The sequence below is a fragment of the Homo sapiens genome, chromosome 1, assembly GCF_000001405.40.
Source record: "Homo sapiens chromosome 1, GRCh38.p14 Primary Assembly".
Classification (NCBI taxonomy): Eukaryota; Metazoa; Chordata; class Mammalia; order Primates; family Hominidae; genus Homo; species Homo sapiens.
In genome coordinates this window covers 231419566-231436085 of record NC_000001.11, presented here as the reverse complement: position 1 = coordinate 231436085, position 16520 = coordinate 231419566, and the positions used below count along the sequence as shown (strand labels likewise).

Genomic DNA, 16520 nt, shown 5'->3' with positions numbered 1-16520 from the left:
CAGGATTGCTTTGCCAGTTTGGGCTTTTTTGGTTTCATATGAATTTTAGAATTGTTTTTCCTATTTCTATGAAAAATATCATTAGTATTTAATATGGATTGCATCGAATGTGTAGATTACTTTGGGTGGTATGTTATGTCTCTTTATTCTTCTTTAATGTGGAACAGTTCCTCAGCCTTTGTCTTTCATGACATTGACATTTTTGAAGAATATATTTCAGTTATTTTATAGGATGTTCTTCACTTCATGTTTGTCTAATGTTTCCTCATGATTAGATTCAAATTCAGGTTATGCATTCTCTGCCCCAAATACCACATAAGTAGTGTCCTTCTCAGGATATCACACTTGGGAGACACATGATATAAATTGGCCCTTGGTTAGTAATATTAATTTTGATGACCTAGTCAAGATATTGTCTTGTTTCTGCACTGTATAGTTACTATTTTCCACTGTGCAACTAAGTGGAAGACACTTTAAGACCTCATCAAAGTAGACGTATCATTCGTTGACAATTCTTGCCCAAACCAGAATGGAATCTATCCAGCCCCACCACTCACTCCAAATTAACAATTAGAATTTTAAGTACAGGCCTTCTTTTATATATTTATTTATTTATTTTTGAGACAGAGTTTTGCTCCATTGCCCAGGCTGGAGTGCAGTGGTGCAATCTTGGCTCACTGAAACCTCCGCCTCCCGGGTTCAAGTGATTCTCCTGCCTCACCCTCCGGAGTAGCTGGGATTACAGACACATGCCACCACACCCGGCTAATTTTTGTATTTTTAGTAGAGATATGGTTTCACCACGTTGGCCAGGCTGCTCTCAAACTCCTGACCTCAAGTGATCTACCCGCCTCAGCCTCCCAAAGTGTTGGGATGACAGGCGTGAGCCACCGTGCCTGGCCCTTTTATTTACTTAATCATTAGTATAGACTCATGGATTTAACTGAACTTAATACATTATATATTATTACCATCCTTATTTATTGTGATGCTCAAATTTTCCCAGACTTGGATGATGAGAGCCCCTTTGAGCTGACTTCTGTGTATATTCATGGATAGACTGGAATGGGAGCCATAATTTTTTTTGTTTGAACACTTTATTACTTTCTGGCCCAAGATGCTCCATGCTCATCTGTGCCTGGAATTAGTCATTTCTTCTGTGCCCCAAACCTGGGATTAGTCATTTCTTCAAGGACCCTGCATCCTTTTAGTGGGCAAAGGTATCTGGGAAACCAAAATCTATTAATTGATACTGTGTGCTGGTTCCAACTGAGTGTCATTATTTCTAGTTCCTTTCAACTGACAGAGCTAGGAAATCATCAGTTTATACTGATAATTCCAATTACAAATATATTAAACAACTTGGTACTGTCCCACAGGTCACTTTTTTTCTTTTCAGTCTTTTTCCCTCTTGAATGCTTCTGCTTGAAAGCTTTCTAAAAAATATTTTTTATTTTATTTTATTTATTTTTTGAGACAGAATCTCACTCTGTCGCCCAGGCTGGAGTGCAGTGGCATGATCACAGCTCACTACAGCCTTGACCTCCTGGGCTCAGACAAACCTCCCATCTCAGCCCCCTAAGTAGGTGGTACTACAGGTGTGCACCACCATTTTTCTTTTTTATTTATTATTATTATTTTGAGATAGAGCTTCGCTTTTGTTGCTTAGGGTGGAGTGCAATGGCACGATCTCAGCTTACTGCAACCTCCGCCTCCCGGGTTCAAGCGATTCTCCTGCCTCAGGCTCCCATGTAGCTGAGATTACAGGCATGCGCCACCATGTCAGGCTAATTTTGTATTTTTAGTAGAGACAGGGTTTCTCCATGTTGGTAAGGCTGGTCTCAAACTCCCGACCTCATGATCTGCCCACCTTGGCCTCCCAAAGTGCTGGGATTACAGGCGTGAGCCACCCTGCCCGGCCCATGCTCAGCATTTTTTGTACCTTTTGTAGAGATGGGGATTCGCCATGTTGCCAGACTATTCTCAAACTCCTGGGCTCAAGCAATCTGCTTGCCTTGGTCTCCCAAAGTGCTGGGATTACAGGTATGAGCCACCACGCCTGGCGCTAAAGGCATTTCTGTTGCTATATATTCAGGTTCATGATCTTTACTTTTATAATGTTTAACATGCTAATAATTCTGTGCAGTGAAATGTTTCATTTCAGATACTGTCTTTTTCAGCTCTGAAATTTCCATTTGGCTTTTTCTTTTTATATCTTCCATTTCTCAACTCATTGCGCCTACATTTTCCTTTACATCCTTCAGCATATTTATAAAAGATATTTTAGGCCAGGTGCAGTGGCTCACGCCTGTAATCCTAGCACTTTGGGAGGCTGAGGCAGGCGGATCATGAGGTCAGGAGTTCGAGACCAGCCTGGCTAACACGGTGAAACCCCATCTCTACTAAAAATACAAAAAATTAGCTTGGTGTGACACCTGTAATCCCAGCTACTGGAGAGGCTGAGGCAGGAGAATCGCTTGAACCCAGAGACAGAGGTTGCAGTGAGCCGAGATAGTGCCACTGCACTCCATCCTGGGTGGCAGAGCAAGACTCTGTCTCAAAAAAAAAAACAACATATTTTAAAGGATTTAGCTACTAATTCCATACTTTCTGGGTCTGTTGCAAGTGGACCAATTTTTCTTTGCTTATGGATCACATTTTTCTGCTTCTGTGCATGTTTAGTAATTTTTAATTGGATATTGAAAATTGTGAATTTTTTTTGTTGAGTGCCAGATTTTGTTGTCTTTCCTTAAAGAGAGCTGGATTTATTCTGGTAGGGAGTTGTATCTTTTTTTGAAGCTTCAAATAGCTTTGTATGTTGCTCTGGATTTGTTCCATTGTTTCATTTATCTTCTTCAGGAGACTTCAATTATATGTATATTGTATTCTGTGTGGATGCCTGTTTTCCATTCCCATCACATTCTGTCTGATCCATTTTTTTTTTCTTTCTTTCTTTCTTTTTTTTTTTTTTGAGACAGTCTCGCTATGTCACCCAGGCTGGAGTGCAATGGTGCCATCTAGGCTCCTGGCAACCTCCGCCTCCCAGTTTCAAGTGATCCTCCTACCTCAGCCTCCCAAGTAGCTGGGATTACAGGCATGCACCACCACCTGGCTAATTTTTGTACTTTTAGTGGAGATAGGGTTTCACCATGTTGGCCAGGCTGGTCTCAAACTCCTGACCTCAAGTGATTTTCCCACCTCAGCCTCCCAAATTGCTGGGATTACAGGTGTGAGCCACCATGCCTGGCCTGGGAGGAGACTTTAATCAGTTAAGTATTGTCTTTGAATGTATGATTCTAAGTGGTTTTTAAAATTTATTTTTACTTGCTTGTCTGACTATCCTTGCAAATAGATACTGAAGTATTAGGGCATAAAAGGGCATGATGCATGCAACCTACTCTGAAATGGTTCAGAAAAAATAAACAATAATATGAATATAGATAAGATATATATATGTAGAGGGAATGATAAAACAGGTTTAAATTAGTAAACTTAAGTAAGGGATATAGAGAAGTTCTCTTTATAATTCTTGCAAATTTTCTGGAACTTTGCGATTCTTTCAAAATAAAAGTGAGGCAGGAGAATAGTGCCTGGAGGCAAGGAACCTAAGGTTGTTTCATACCGACTTCCTAAAACTAAATAGAAAGGAAACCCCTCCCTTTGACCTTTTCTGCCTAGCAGATGGGAAATTGGCTGTCTGTAACAAATCAGACTGATTGCTGGTAGAGTCTTCATTTGCAACTTTGTAACTTCACCCTAGCCTCTGATTGCAACCAATCAGATGTTTGCACAGGAGTGTGACCTTTGTTACTTCACTCCAGCCTCTGGTTGGCTGCTTTCTGCAACCAATCAGACTGATTGCGGGCCACCACTTCATTTACGTGAAGCGAGCATGAAGTGGCCAATGGGAAACTTCTAGGGGGTATTTGGACCCAAGAAGATTCGGTATCTGGGCCCTCAAGCCACTGCTTGGGTCCACTCCCACAGTGTGGAGTGTACTTTTGTTTTCAATAAACCCCTGCTTTCATTCTTTTGTTGCTTCATTCTTTCTTTGCTTTGCTCGGCATTTTGTCCAATTCTTTGTTCAAAACACCAAGAACCTGGACAACTTGCAGTCATGGCCCACTACTGGTGACAAAAGCTTAAAAATAGTCTATTCATGACTAAATGCAGAAACCATAACTTGCCTCTTTTGATAATCATCAAATGCTTCTGTAGAACTTAATGATGAGGAACTTATGGGGAGGTGGAGCAAAGGTCATTCTTGCTAGGCTTTAGCAAAGAGACTGTTGGCATTTGCCCCTGCCCAAGAGATCTGTGGAACTTCGAACTTGAGAGAGATGATTTAGGGTATCTGGTGGAAGAAATGTCTAAGAAGCAAGGTGTTCAAGGTATGACCTGGCTTTTTCTGAAAGTGTGCAGTCATCTGTGTTCACAAAAAGGTGATCTGAAATTGGAACTTATGTTTAAAAGGGAAGTAGAGCATAAAAGTTTGGAAAACTTGCAGCCTGACCATGCCATAGAAAAGAAAAACCCATTTTCTGGGGAGAAATTCAAGCCTTCAGCTGCAGAAATTTGCATAAGTAAAGAGAAGCCAAATGTTACTAGCCAAAACAATGGGGAAAATGTCTCCAGAGCATTTTAGAGACCTTCAAGGCAGGCCCTCCCATTACAGGCCTGGAGACCTAGGAGGGAAAAATAGTTTCCTGGGTAGGATCCATGGTCCTGCTTCTCTGTGCAGCCTCGGTGAGAGGTGACAGTGTGCTGGCAGCCCTCACAGCCCTCGCTCGCTCTCGGCGCTTCCTCAGCCTTGGCACCCACTCTAGCCACGCTTCAGGAGCCCTTAAGCCCGCTGCTGCACTGTGGGAGCCCCTTTCTGGGCTGGCCAAGGCCGGAGCCGGCTCCCTCAGCTTGCGGGGAGGTGTGGAGGGAGAGGCGCAGGTGGGAACCAGGGCTGCGCGTGGTGCTTGCGGGCCAGCACGCGTTCCGGGTGGGTGTGGGCTCAGTGGGCCCCGCATTTGGAGTGGCTGGCTGGCCCCGCCGGCCTGGGCAGTGAGGGGCTTAGCACCTGGGCCAGCAGCTGCTGTGCTCAATTTCTCCCCGGGCCTTAGCTGCCTTCCCGCTGGGCAGGGCTCAGGACCTGCAGCCCGCCATGCCTGAGCCTCTCCCCAACTCCATGGGCTCCTGCGCGGCTGGAGCCTCTCTGAGGAGCCCCACCCCCTGCTCCAAGGGCGCCCAGTCCCATCAGCCACCCAAGGGCTGAGTGCGGGTGCATGGCGCGGGACTGGCAGGCAGCTCCACCTGCGGCCCCAGTGCGGGATCCACTGGGTGAAGCCAGCTGGACTCCTGAGTCTGGTGGGGACTTGGAGAACCTTTATGTCTAGCTAAGGGATTGTAAATACACCAATCGGCACTCTGTATCTAGCTCAAGGTTTGTAAACACACCAATCAGCACCCTGGGTCTAGCTCAGGGTTTGTGAATGCACCAATTGACACTCTCTATCTAGCTACTCTGGTGGGGACTTGGAGAACTTTTGTGTTGACACTCTGTACCTAGCTAATCTAGTGGGGACATGGAGAACTTTTGTGTCTAGCTCAGGGATTCTAAATGCACCAATTAGCACCCTGTAAAATGGACCAATCAGCTCTCTGTAAGACCAATCAGCTCTCTGTAAAATGGACCAATCAGCAGGATATGGGTGGGGCCAGATAAGGGAATAAAAGCAGGCTGCCTGAGCCAGCAGTAGCAACTCGCTCTGGTTGCCTTCCATGCTGTGGAAGCTTTGTTCTTTCGCTCTTTGCAATAAATCTTGCTGCTGCTCACTCTTTGGGTCCACACTGCCTTTATGAGATGTAACACTCACTGCGAAGATCTGCAGCTTCACTCCTGAAGCCAGCGAGACCACGAACCCACCAGGAGGAACAAACAACTCCAGACATGCCGCCTTAAAAGCTGTAACACTCACTGCGAAGGTCTGCAGCTTCACTCCTGAACCAGCGAGACCACGAACCCACCAGAAGGAAGAAACTCCGAACACATCCGAATATCAGAAGGAACAAACTCCGGACATGCCGCCTTTAAGAACTGTAACACTCACTGCGAGGGTCTGCAGCTTCATTCTTGAAATCAGTGAGACCAAGAACCCACCAATTCCGGACACATCAGGACATGGTGCCCTGCATCCCAAGTGCTCCAGCTCCAGCTGTGGCTAAAAGAGGACAAGATACAGCTTGGGTCACTGCTTCAGAAGGTGCAAGCCCCAAGCCTTGGTGGCTTTCACATGGTGTTGGGCTTGTGGGTATGCAGAAGACAAGAGCTGAGCTTTGGAAGCCTTGACCTAGGTTTCAGAGGATGTATGGAAATGCATGGATGTCTAGCAGAAGTCTGCTGCAGGGGCAGAGACCTCATGGAGAACTTCTACTAGGAAAACACGGAGTGGAAATGTGAGGTTGTAGTTCCCACAGAGTCCCCACTGGGGCACTGCCTATTGGAGCTGTAAGAAGTGGGCTGGCCCAGTGTGGTGGCTCATGCCTGTATTCCCAGCACTTTGGGAGGCCAAGGCGGGAAGATGAACTGAGGTCAGGAGTTTGAGACCAGCCTGGCCAACATGGCAAAACCACAGCTCTACTAAAAATAGAAAAATTAGCTGGGCATGGTGGTGGGTGCCTGTAATCCCACCTACTCTGGAGGCTGAGGCAGGGAGAATTGCTTGAACCTGGAAGGTAGAGGTTGCAGTGAGCCAATATCATGCCATTGCACTCCAGCATGGGCAACAGAGTGAGACTCCATCTCAAAAAAAAAAAAAAACCAACCAGCCACTGTCCTCCAGATCCATGGAGAAGCTGCAGGCACTCAACGCCAGCCCAGGAAAGCAGCCCTAGGGGCTGTACCCTGCAGAACCACAGGGGCAGAGCTGCCCAAGGACTTGGGAGCCAACCTTTGCATCACTGTGCCCTGGATGTGAGACATGGAGTCAAAGGAGATTATTTTGGAGCTTTAAGATTTAATGAGTGCCCTGCTGGGTTTTGGACTTGCATGGGGCCTGTGGAGCCCCTTTGTTTTGGCCAATTTATACGATTTGGAGCAGGAATATTTACCCAATGCCTGTATCCCCATTACATCTTGGAAGTAACTACTTGCTTTTGATTTTACAGGCTCATAGGCAGAAGGGACTTGCTTTGTCTCAGACTTTGGACTTGCACTTTTGAGTTAATGCTGGAATGAGTTAAGACTTTCGGGGACTGTTGGGAAGGCATGATTGGTTTTGAAATGTGAAAAAGACATGAGATTTGAGAGAGGCCAGGGGTGGAATGATATGGTTTGCCTCTGTGTCCCTACCCAAATCTCATCTTGAATTGTAATCCACATGTGTCAAGGGAGGGGCCCGGTGGGAGGTGACTGGACCATGGGGGCAGTTTCCCCCATGCAGTTCTCATGATAGTGAGTGAGTTCTCACGAGATCTGATTGTTTAAAAGTGTTTGGCAGTTCCTTCCACCTCCTTCTGCCATATAAGATGTGCCTTACTTCCCCTTTGCCTTCCACCATGATTGTATGTTTCCTGAGGCCTCCCTAACCATACGGAACTGTGAGTCAGTTAAACCTCTTTTGTTTATAAGTTGCCCATTCTCAGGTAGTTTATTTCTTTCTTTATCATTATTATTATTTTTTTTTGAGACAGAGTCTTGCTCTGTTGCCCAGGCTGGAGTGCAGTGGCATGATCTCAGCTTACTGCAACCTCTGCCTCCTGGGTTCAAGCAATTCTCCTGCCTCAACCTCCCGAGTAGTTGGGATTACAGGCACCCACCACCACGCCCAGCTAAATTTTTGTATTTCTAGTAGAGACGGGGTTTTACCACGTTGGTCAAGCTGGTCTCGAACTCCTGACCTCAGTGATCTGCCTGCCTCGGCCTCCCAAAGTGGGTAGTTTCTCTATTGCAGTGTGAAAATGGACTAATACACAGAGAAAAGAATTAGATGACTTTAAAACACAGTATTTTGGCCATCCATTCTTAATGGGATATATTATGTAGACAAAAAGAATGCCATAAAATATCAAACTGCATTCAGTAATTAGTCTTATTGGTAGTAGCAACATTGGTATTGTATCGTGAAACTATCGTAATTATTTTTTAGAATATAGCAGATAAGCAATTATGTAAATGTCATTAGGAAACAAAATTTTTAGTGCAGGTTGAGCATCCCTCATCCAGAAATTCAAAATCCGAAATGCTCCAAAATGTGGAACTTTTTGAGGCCAACATGACACCTCAAGTGGAAGATTCTACATCTAACCTCATGTGATGAGTTGTAATCAAAACACAGGCAAAACGGTTTCATGTGCAAAATTATTGAAAATATTGTATAAAATTACTTTCAGGTTTTGTGTATAAGGTATATATGAAACATAAATGAATTTTGTGTTTAGATTTTGGTTGCATCCCCAAGATATTGCTTTACGTATGTGCAAATATTCCAAAATCTGAAAATATCTGAAACACATCTGGTTCCAGGCATTTTGGATAAAGGCTGCTCAACCTGTCAAGAAAAAAAAATTACAAATATAAAATCAAAGAAATTAAGTTAAAACTCTGTAATCTTACATTTGAATTGGAAATATCAGTATGAATTCAAGATTTTTTTCTCTTGAAAAAATTATCGATTTTCCAGCTCTATTAGAAAGACTTAGAAGTAATGACAGCCCAGTGGCAATGAGTACTCCTGATTATGGTTTCTGACTGCCATTTCCTACTTAAAGGAACTGAGGCTCTTTGGAGGAATGACTGATTCCATGTCAGGGGCAGAAAATGCACAAGATAAGTTTGGGCCATTTTGTGCCAGAAAGCAAGAAAACTATCAAAGATTAATGTGACCACATCTACAATACATAGGAACCAACTCAAATAATTTCTCACTGGCCAAAAGTGGGACGATTTGAGCATCAAAAAGAATAATTAATGCACTTCAAATATATGAAAATACATATATTCATGATCATTTTTTTAAAAAAGCTCATTAGAAGTTGCTAGAGCACTAACTCATTATTTTGAAAATTGATAAATGAAAAGAAACGTGGACCCTATCTTTCATCTACAAACTATATTTCAGGATAACCAAAGAGTTAATGAAAAATGTTATGGTAGAATTCCAGCTAATAAATTTAGGAGGAATGTTAGAATTAGAAATTCATTATTTTGCAACGTCTAATGAAATACTGGATTGAGTCACAATTAATGGATGCTAAAATAATCAGGTGATGTTTGATGAAAAACGTAATGTAGGAATCAGGCTGACACCACCTCAACCCATGAGCAATATTTCGTCATTAAAATGCAAGTATCAGACATATGTGCCTCATGATGTGATGTAATAGGAAATACACGGCAACTACCACAAAGTATGCTTACCTAAAATATAGAACCTCAATCTAATAAAAATCCTAAATCTACCTATTTGCAGAAATAGGAGTAATATCACAAGGAAGTAATCAGCTAAATCTAGAATATGGGACATTCCGTAGTACAAATGGCCTAGTTTCTACAGTAAATCTATAGTATGAAGGGTGAGATGCTGGTAAAATTGAGTAAAAGGGACTTAAGAAATATGACAATTTGTGATGGTATTAGGTGGGGCGGGGTGGAGGAAGAAACAACTAAGTGCAATGTATGGACTTGTTTAGATCTTGAATTGAATAAAGCAACTGTAAACAGAATCTTTGATATAATCGAAAAAAATTTAATACTTGGAGGATGATGGATAGTATTGAGATTTTTCTTAATTTTGTGTGATAATGGCATGGTGGATATGATTTTTGAAAGTTCTTATCAGATGTGCATATTGAAGTTGGGATATGCTTTATAATACTTTAGCAAAAAAAGTGGGGGACATAGTAGGGAGGAGGGTAGGGAAGAATTGTCTATCAACAAATGTTGATAATTGTTGAAGCTGATAACTGTTGAACTCATTAGGGCTGAGGTTGATTATACTATTATCTCTCTTTTTGCATATGTTTAACTTTTCCCACAAGAAAATGTTACAGGAAAAATTATTTAGCTTTCTCCAACCTGGGTTGGTATAAGTCACTGATTGTGACTATCCCAAAAGTTGGTTCAACATTAAGGTAATGTTTGTTAGGAAAAAAAATTAGATCGACACGTTATTTAGTATCCCAGGTTTTTGAGCATTTATTTAAAAAATTCGCTATAATGAGAGATGATTATAAATTTTTGTTATATTTCTGAGATGATCAATTTTAACAGGATTGGTGGTAATTTTTCAATCATAAACTGATAAAGTTTGATGACTGATAAATCGCCCCAATATATAGCAAATCTATTCAATTATTTTGTTTTCATAAGGGAACAACCTTGGTGGAAAGTACAGCTGTCTCCATGTACAAGGAGAAGCACATAGCTCACGTGTGCATCTGGCAGAACCCCCAGTACAGAGACAAGCAGGTGCTGTTTTCCAATGACACCTACTTGTGTGTGTCCTAATACTATAGTTAGAAAATGGCTCAGATTTTTGAGTTGCTTTTCCCAGAACTCAAAGATTGTCTTCCTGTTTATCTTGGTGGAATGCCTATGCTATACTTGTGATTTTTCTGTTCTCTGTAACCTATTAAAACAAGATTGTCACAGATGGGGAAACAAGAGGTCATTAGTTAACAATCAGATGTTCGATTTCTTGAGCAGAAAAGATACTCTGTTGTGTTTTTAAAAACATTTTTAAAGGAGAAATAGGGCTACTCCTTGGAAGGCAGATTGTTGTTCAGTGGGCTTTCCTCAAGAGTCAACACAGTCGTTTCTAAATTCATTTCCTCCTTCAATTCTGTTCTTGTAGTTAACATAAGCTTTGCCTCTTTTAGTTCTTGTCAGTTCACAGTGGCTACTTCTTTATAGCTTAACTAAATACTGCCAGAAGAGCAAAGGGAAGCCAAATAGGTGGTCAATTAGCTTTGTCTAAGTTGGTATGATATGGAGAGGAAAGCACTGTTACTTTAATTCATTCTTCAGTTTCTAGAACAGTTGCTTTTGATTAGGTTAGGGGCAGAAAAACATTTGTAATAATTAATGGCTTTGAGAGACACAAGGCTTTGTTTGCCCCAGAGTATTAGTTAACCCACCTAGTGCTCCTAATCATACAATATTAAGGATTGGGAGGGACATTCATTGCCTCACTCTCTATTTGTTTCACCTTCTGTAAAATTGGTAGAATAATAGTACCCACTTCATAGCATTGTATGATGATTAAATTGGTTAATATTTTTAAAATGCTTAGAACACAGATTGGGCACATAACAGCAAGCACCACATGTGTTTATAAGATAAATTCCTTTGTGTTGCCTTCCGTTAAAGTTTAAATAAGTAAATAAATAAATAAATACTTGCATGACATTTTGAAGTCTCTCTATAACATCTGAGTAAGTGGCGGCTGCGACAATGCTACTGGAGTTCCAGAATCGTGTTGGTGACAAGATTGTTCACCAGCATATGGTGTGGTGAAAACTCACTAATTTGGAATTAGTTCAGATTATTAAGCCTGAATAGGTGAAAATCCTGAAATCAAGGATCTTTGGAACTATTTGAAATCAGTATTTTATATTTTCCTGTTGTATTCATTAAAGTGTTGCAAGTGTTCTATTTGATGGATTAAGTATATTTAGGATATACATGTTCAATTTGTGATTTTGTATACTTAATTGGAACAAGAAAGCTAATAAAGGTTTTGATATGGACATCTATTCTTTTAAGTAAACTTCAATGAAAATATATGAGTAGAGCATATAGAGATGTAAATAATTTGTGGACACACCACAGACTGAAATAGCAAATTTAAAAGAAATTGTTGGAAGAATCAAGTGTTTGTGGAATGAGTCCTCCTAGTAAAGTTCCTGCTCTTGTGAATAATTAAGCCTCATGTATAATTACTATAGCAAAAGGAAGCCTAAGAAGTATTAGACTCTACTTGTATTTAAATTACATTTTACATAATTTATGTGTATGAAAAATGTTTTAAATGCTTATTTTCGTAAGCCATGAGATAGCTCCTTTATATTTTAAGAATTTCTGAATTAATTTGCTTGGATTTTATTAGTGCAAATGGCAGAGCTAGCAATTCCTTTTTCTGTGTTCCCATTCCATCCTATTCATCCCTCTTTTAGGAAACTCTGAACTCTGGATTGTCCTTGTTTACATACCTGCCTCCTGCATTGGACTATGTGTCTCTGAGTGTAGTATGACTAATTCATTTGTTTGTCAAGGACTCTCAATGCATTTGTTGAACAGCCTAATTAGTAATGTCTGCAACAATGACATTTTACTGTATTTAATAAAGCTCTGGGAAAGTAGGATACACATAAGACAGGTCTAGGTCTAAATTCTTTACAGAAACTTGGATTTTTAGTTCGGTTTGAAATTTGAAGATGTGAGTATATTTATCTCAGTTTCCCAAAGGACAAGCTAATTGGAATTATCATCCTCTTTCACTTGATTGGATCCCCAGAATGCCATTTACGCATGCAGCAGGATTTTATAACAGTTTTAAATTCTGTATATTTGATGAAGAGGTTTTATATTTTTGGATTCAAGCCTCTTTTTAAACTTCTACAATATGGTTTACAATAATTCCTTATATCCTGCTTTTGAAATACATATTACAACTTTTTAAGTTTGGAAGGCTATATTTCAAGGACTGAAGTTACAGTATACTCAAGTGATACACAAGCCTAGCACCCCACTTTCCACATAGTGTTCGATAAAGATTGATAAACTCGAAATCACAGACCTTTTAATTCTTAAGACAAATAGCAGCAGAAAGAAACATCTTTGGCTTATTTCTGGTAAGGTTTTTATGCTCTGTAAAACAAAGAATTGTATTCATCCGCGCAGCACAGATTCTATTAAAAATAAATGTGAGAGTCGTTAATGTAGTACTGCTCATTTACCATCAAAATTCACTTTTCAGGAATAATCCCATCAGTTTAAATTGGATATTGGAATGAGCATTGATTACATTTAACTTGGTAGCCCAAAATTTCTTCATGGGGTTTTGAACTCGGCGGGATTTCAAAGGTTTTAAAAATGAGTTTTTGATTTTTTTTAAAACCCTCAAATTTCATTACCTTTAAACTAGGTCGAAACGGGGCGCAAGAGATTGGATTAACACCATAGTAATACTTATTTTGTTCTTAACCATTTCAGGGCTTCTTGAAATAGAGGCTGTATGGTGTAATGGAAAAAACAGCCTTGGAATCTGGGAGCCTGATTCCTGGATTCAGTCCCAGTTTTGCGTGACCTTGGGCAAGTTACTTTACTTCTCTGAATTTCCGTTTCCTCCTCTGCAAAATGAGGATCGCAATAGCCACCTTGCAACCTTGACTGGAGCGAGCCTCGCACACCCCGCGCCGGCCTGGAGGAAGAGCAGCCATGATTACGCCGCCTTCGCTCCGCTACCCGCTTGCGGCTGGCGCCCTCCTCCAGCAGGTGTAGGCGCTGCCGCGCTGCCCCACGCCTTTCCGCCGCTCGCGGGCCTGCGCCTCGGCGTCCCCGAGGAGGCCGCTGCGGGCTGAGGTAGCGCACCGGCCTCTCGGCGTCCCAGTCCGGTCCCGGGCGGAGGGAAAGCGGGCGACCCACCTCCGAGGCAGAAGCCGAGGCCCGGCCCCGCCGAGTGCGGAGGAGCGCAGGCAGCCCCCGCCCCTCGGCCCTCCCCCCGGCCCTCCCGGCCCTCCCTCCGCCCCCTCCGCCCTCGCGCGCCGCCCGCCCGGGTCGCCGCGGGGCCGTGGTGTACGTGCAGAGCGCGCAGAGCGAGTGGCGCCCGTATGCCCTGCGCTCCTCCACAGCCTGGGCCGGGCCGCCCGGGACGCTGAGGCGGCGGCGGCGGCCGAGGGGGCCGGTCTTGCGCTCCCCAGGCCCGCGCGCCTGAGCCCAGGTTGCCATTCGCCGCACAGGCCCTATTCTCTCAGCCCTCGGCGGCGATGAGGCGCTGAGGCGGCTGCCGGCGCTGCGCCGGAGCTTAGGACTCGGAAGCGGCCGGGCCGAGGGCGTGGGGTGCCGGCCTCCCTGAGGCGAGGGTAGCGGGTGCATGGCGCAGTAACGGCCCCTATCTCTCTCCCCGCTCCCCAGCCTCGGGCGAGGCCGTCCGGCCGCTACCCCTCCTGCTCGGCCGCCGCAGTCGCCGTCGCCGCCGCCGCCGCCGCCATGGCCAATGACAGCGGCGGGCCCGGCGGGCCGAGCCCGAGCGAGCGAGACCGGCAGTACTGCGAGCTGTGCGGGAAGATGGAGAACCTGCTGCGCTGCAGCCGCTGCCGCAGCTCCTTCTACTGCTGCAAGGAGCACCAGCGTCAGGACTGGAAGAAGCACAAGCTCGTGTGCCAGGGCAGCGAGGGCGCCCTCGGCCACGGAGTGGGCCCACACCAGCATTCCGGCCCCGCGCCGCCGGCTGCAGTGCCGCCGCCCAGGGCCGGGGCCCGGGAGCCCAGGAAGGCAGCGGCGCGCCGGGACAACGCCTCCGGGGACGCGGCCAAGGGAAAAGTAAAGGCCAAGCCCCCGGCCGACCCAGCGGCGGCCGCGTCGCCGTGTCGTGCGGCCGCCGGCGGCCAGGGCTCGGCGGTGGCTGCCGAAGCCGAGCCCGGCAAGGAGGAGCCGCCGGCCCGCTCATCGCTGTTCCAGGAGAAGGCGAACCTGTACCCCCCAAGCAACACGCCCGGGGATGCGCTGAGCCCCGGCGGCGGCCTGCGGCCCAACGGGCAGACGAAGCCCCTGCCGGCGCTGAAGCTGGCGCTCGAGTACATCGTGCCGTGCATGAACAAGCACGGCATCTGTGTGGTGGACGACTTCCTCGGCAAGGAGACCGGACAGCAGATCGGCGACGAGGTGCGCGCCCTGCACGACACCGGGAAGTTCACGGACGGGCAGCTGGTCAGCCAGAAGAGTGACTCGTCCAAGGACATCCGAGGCGATAAGATCACCTGGATCGAGGGCAAGGAGCCCGGCTGCGAAACCATTGGGCTGCTCATGAGCAGCATGGACGACCTGATACGCCACTGTAACGGGAAGCTGGGCAGCTACAAAATCAATGGCCGGACGAAAGTAAGTGTGTGCTGCGGGTTTGTGCTGGACAGGCCCTTCTCGGCGGGCAGCCCCTGCCTGCGACTGAAACTGCCTAGGCTGAGAAGCAGCATTCCTCTATATAGAAGGGACTCGCTCTTTCTTGTGTAGCTCCCCGTAAGGAAGACGGACAGAATTTGTAGTAGCTGTTTATCTAGTTAGCCCCTTTGTATCCACTGTTTTCCACTTACTGCCCGTTCACAAACTTCTCCGGCTAATTGCATGGTTTTTTGACTCAACGTAGGCGCTTTAACTTTCCTATTTTCTTTTTTCCATTCCACTATTGGTCACAATTCAAACCTTAGTGGCGTTTTAGCCACCCAGTGAAGGGGTGTTAGAGTACCACCCAAAGCAAGTCCTGGTTCTGCATCTGCCTTGTGTTTGCATAAGCTGTTAAATTTCCTATGGTGTCTGAACCACTCATCACATTTCGATTGAGAGTCAAACGCTGTGTTCAGTTAGGAATTTGCCGGCTGACCGCAAAAAGGTACATTTAAAATAAGCATTTAGTCGAAAGACTCTGTATTCAGGAAGAGCTTGGCTACTCCCCTCCCCCTGTTATAGCTCTTATCCCTCACCCTGTTCCTACTGTTTTGAAACCCGTTACAAAAAGGGGAAAGAAGTATTTCCGTCTTCAGGCCTCTCAGTGTAGGTAGGCTACATTTTTAGCACCAGTTTCCTTTATTTGCTTTGTTAATGTAATCCTTCTGTTGAAAACTGTTTTGTAACTTCCTGGAAAACAAAACAAAACAAAACAACAACACGGAATTGGCGCAGGAGGGCTCGTTTTATCCTCCCAATTTGGTGAGATCTTTTTGTTTTCTCTTTACTATTGCGGTTTTTCCTCCACAGATTTCTTCACTTCTTACCTAGTCTATTCCCTCTTTCCTCCCTCATGATAAACAGTAGACTCTTTCGTCCTTAACCAACTCTCTTGCAGCTCTTTTTCATTTTACTTCTCAGATCTTGATCTTTTCTTTGTGGCTGCTCCCAGGCCACCCTCCTCCACCATCAGTCTCTGATTTTGTGGGTTTTGAGAGATTGACCTGGGAGAGCATCACAGTTGCATGTTTGTACACACACGCTGACTCTAACTAGTGGTTTTTCTGTATGTGTGTGTCAGATCATCTACTTTGACAGTCATTACATGTGATTCTCAGGCTGCCCGAAAGACTGAACATAGGCAGTGAGAAAGTTATAAACGTGAACATTTTGTGGGGAAAAATACAATGTGGAGTCTAATTTACCTATTGCCACTTCATTGCTGGATGAAGGCACAAGTCTTAATTTCTTGTAGTCTTAAAAAGGAACAGTTGAATAATATTAAACTGGAAGGAAAAGGGGGATCTGATGAAATTTCAGCGTTGGTCTTTCACTAGATTTTCATTGATAAAATTTTTAAGAAAGTTGTCAG

At 44.4% G+C, this 16520-nt stretch overlaps 1 protein-coding gene across 4 annotated transcripts in view, besides 4 other annotated features; it reads left to right on the top strand.

The window, feature by feature from the left end:
* Window positions 13334-13658: a silencer, noted in NCBI's record as "fragment chr1:231558174-231558498 (GRCh37/hg19 assembly coordinates)". NCBI's record gives its function as "represses an EF-1alpha promoter that drives an FKBP-Casp9 reporter gene in an ReSE screen in HepG2 liver carcinoma cells {active_cell/tissue: HepG2}" and the evidence as "EXISTENCE:reporter gene assay evidence [ECO:0000049][PMID:32094911]".
* Window positions 13334-14593: a biological region, named in NCBI's record as "ReSE screen-validated silencer GRCh37_chr1:231558174-231558498".
* Window positions 13414-14593: a silencer, noted in NCBI's record as "silent region_1952". NCBI's record gives its function as "represses an Ori minimal core promoter by ATAC-STARR-seq in GM12878 lymphoblastoid cells {active_cell/tissue: GM12878}" and the evidence as "EXISTENCE:reporter gene assay evidence [ECO:0000049][PMID:35858748]".
* The window catches only part of EGLN1 (egl-9 family hypoxia inducible factor 1), a 58532-nt gene continuing 55810 nt past the window's right edge, over window positions 13799-16520 (top strand). For all 4 annotated transcript variants that reach the window (NM_001377261.1, NM_001377260.1, NM_022051.3 and 1 more), the window contains exon 1: window positions 13799-15088. In NM_001377261.1, the coding sequence (NP_001364190.1) occupies window positions 14198-15088 (891 nt within the window). In that variant the 5' untranslated portion in view covers window positions 13799-14197. The remainder of the gene's footprint in view (window positions 15089-16520) is intronic.
* Window positions 14974-15243: an enhancer, noted in NCBI's record as "active region_2730". NCBI's record gives its function as "activates an Ori minimal core promoter by ATAC-STARR-seq in GM12878 lymphoblastoid cells {active_cell/tissue: GM12878}" and the evidence as "EXISTENCE:reporter gene assay evidence [ECO:0000049][PMID:35858748]".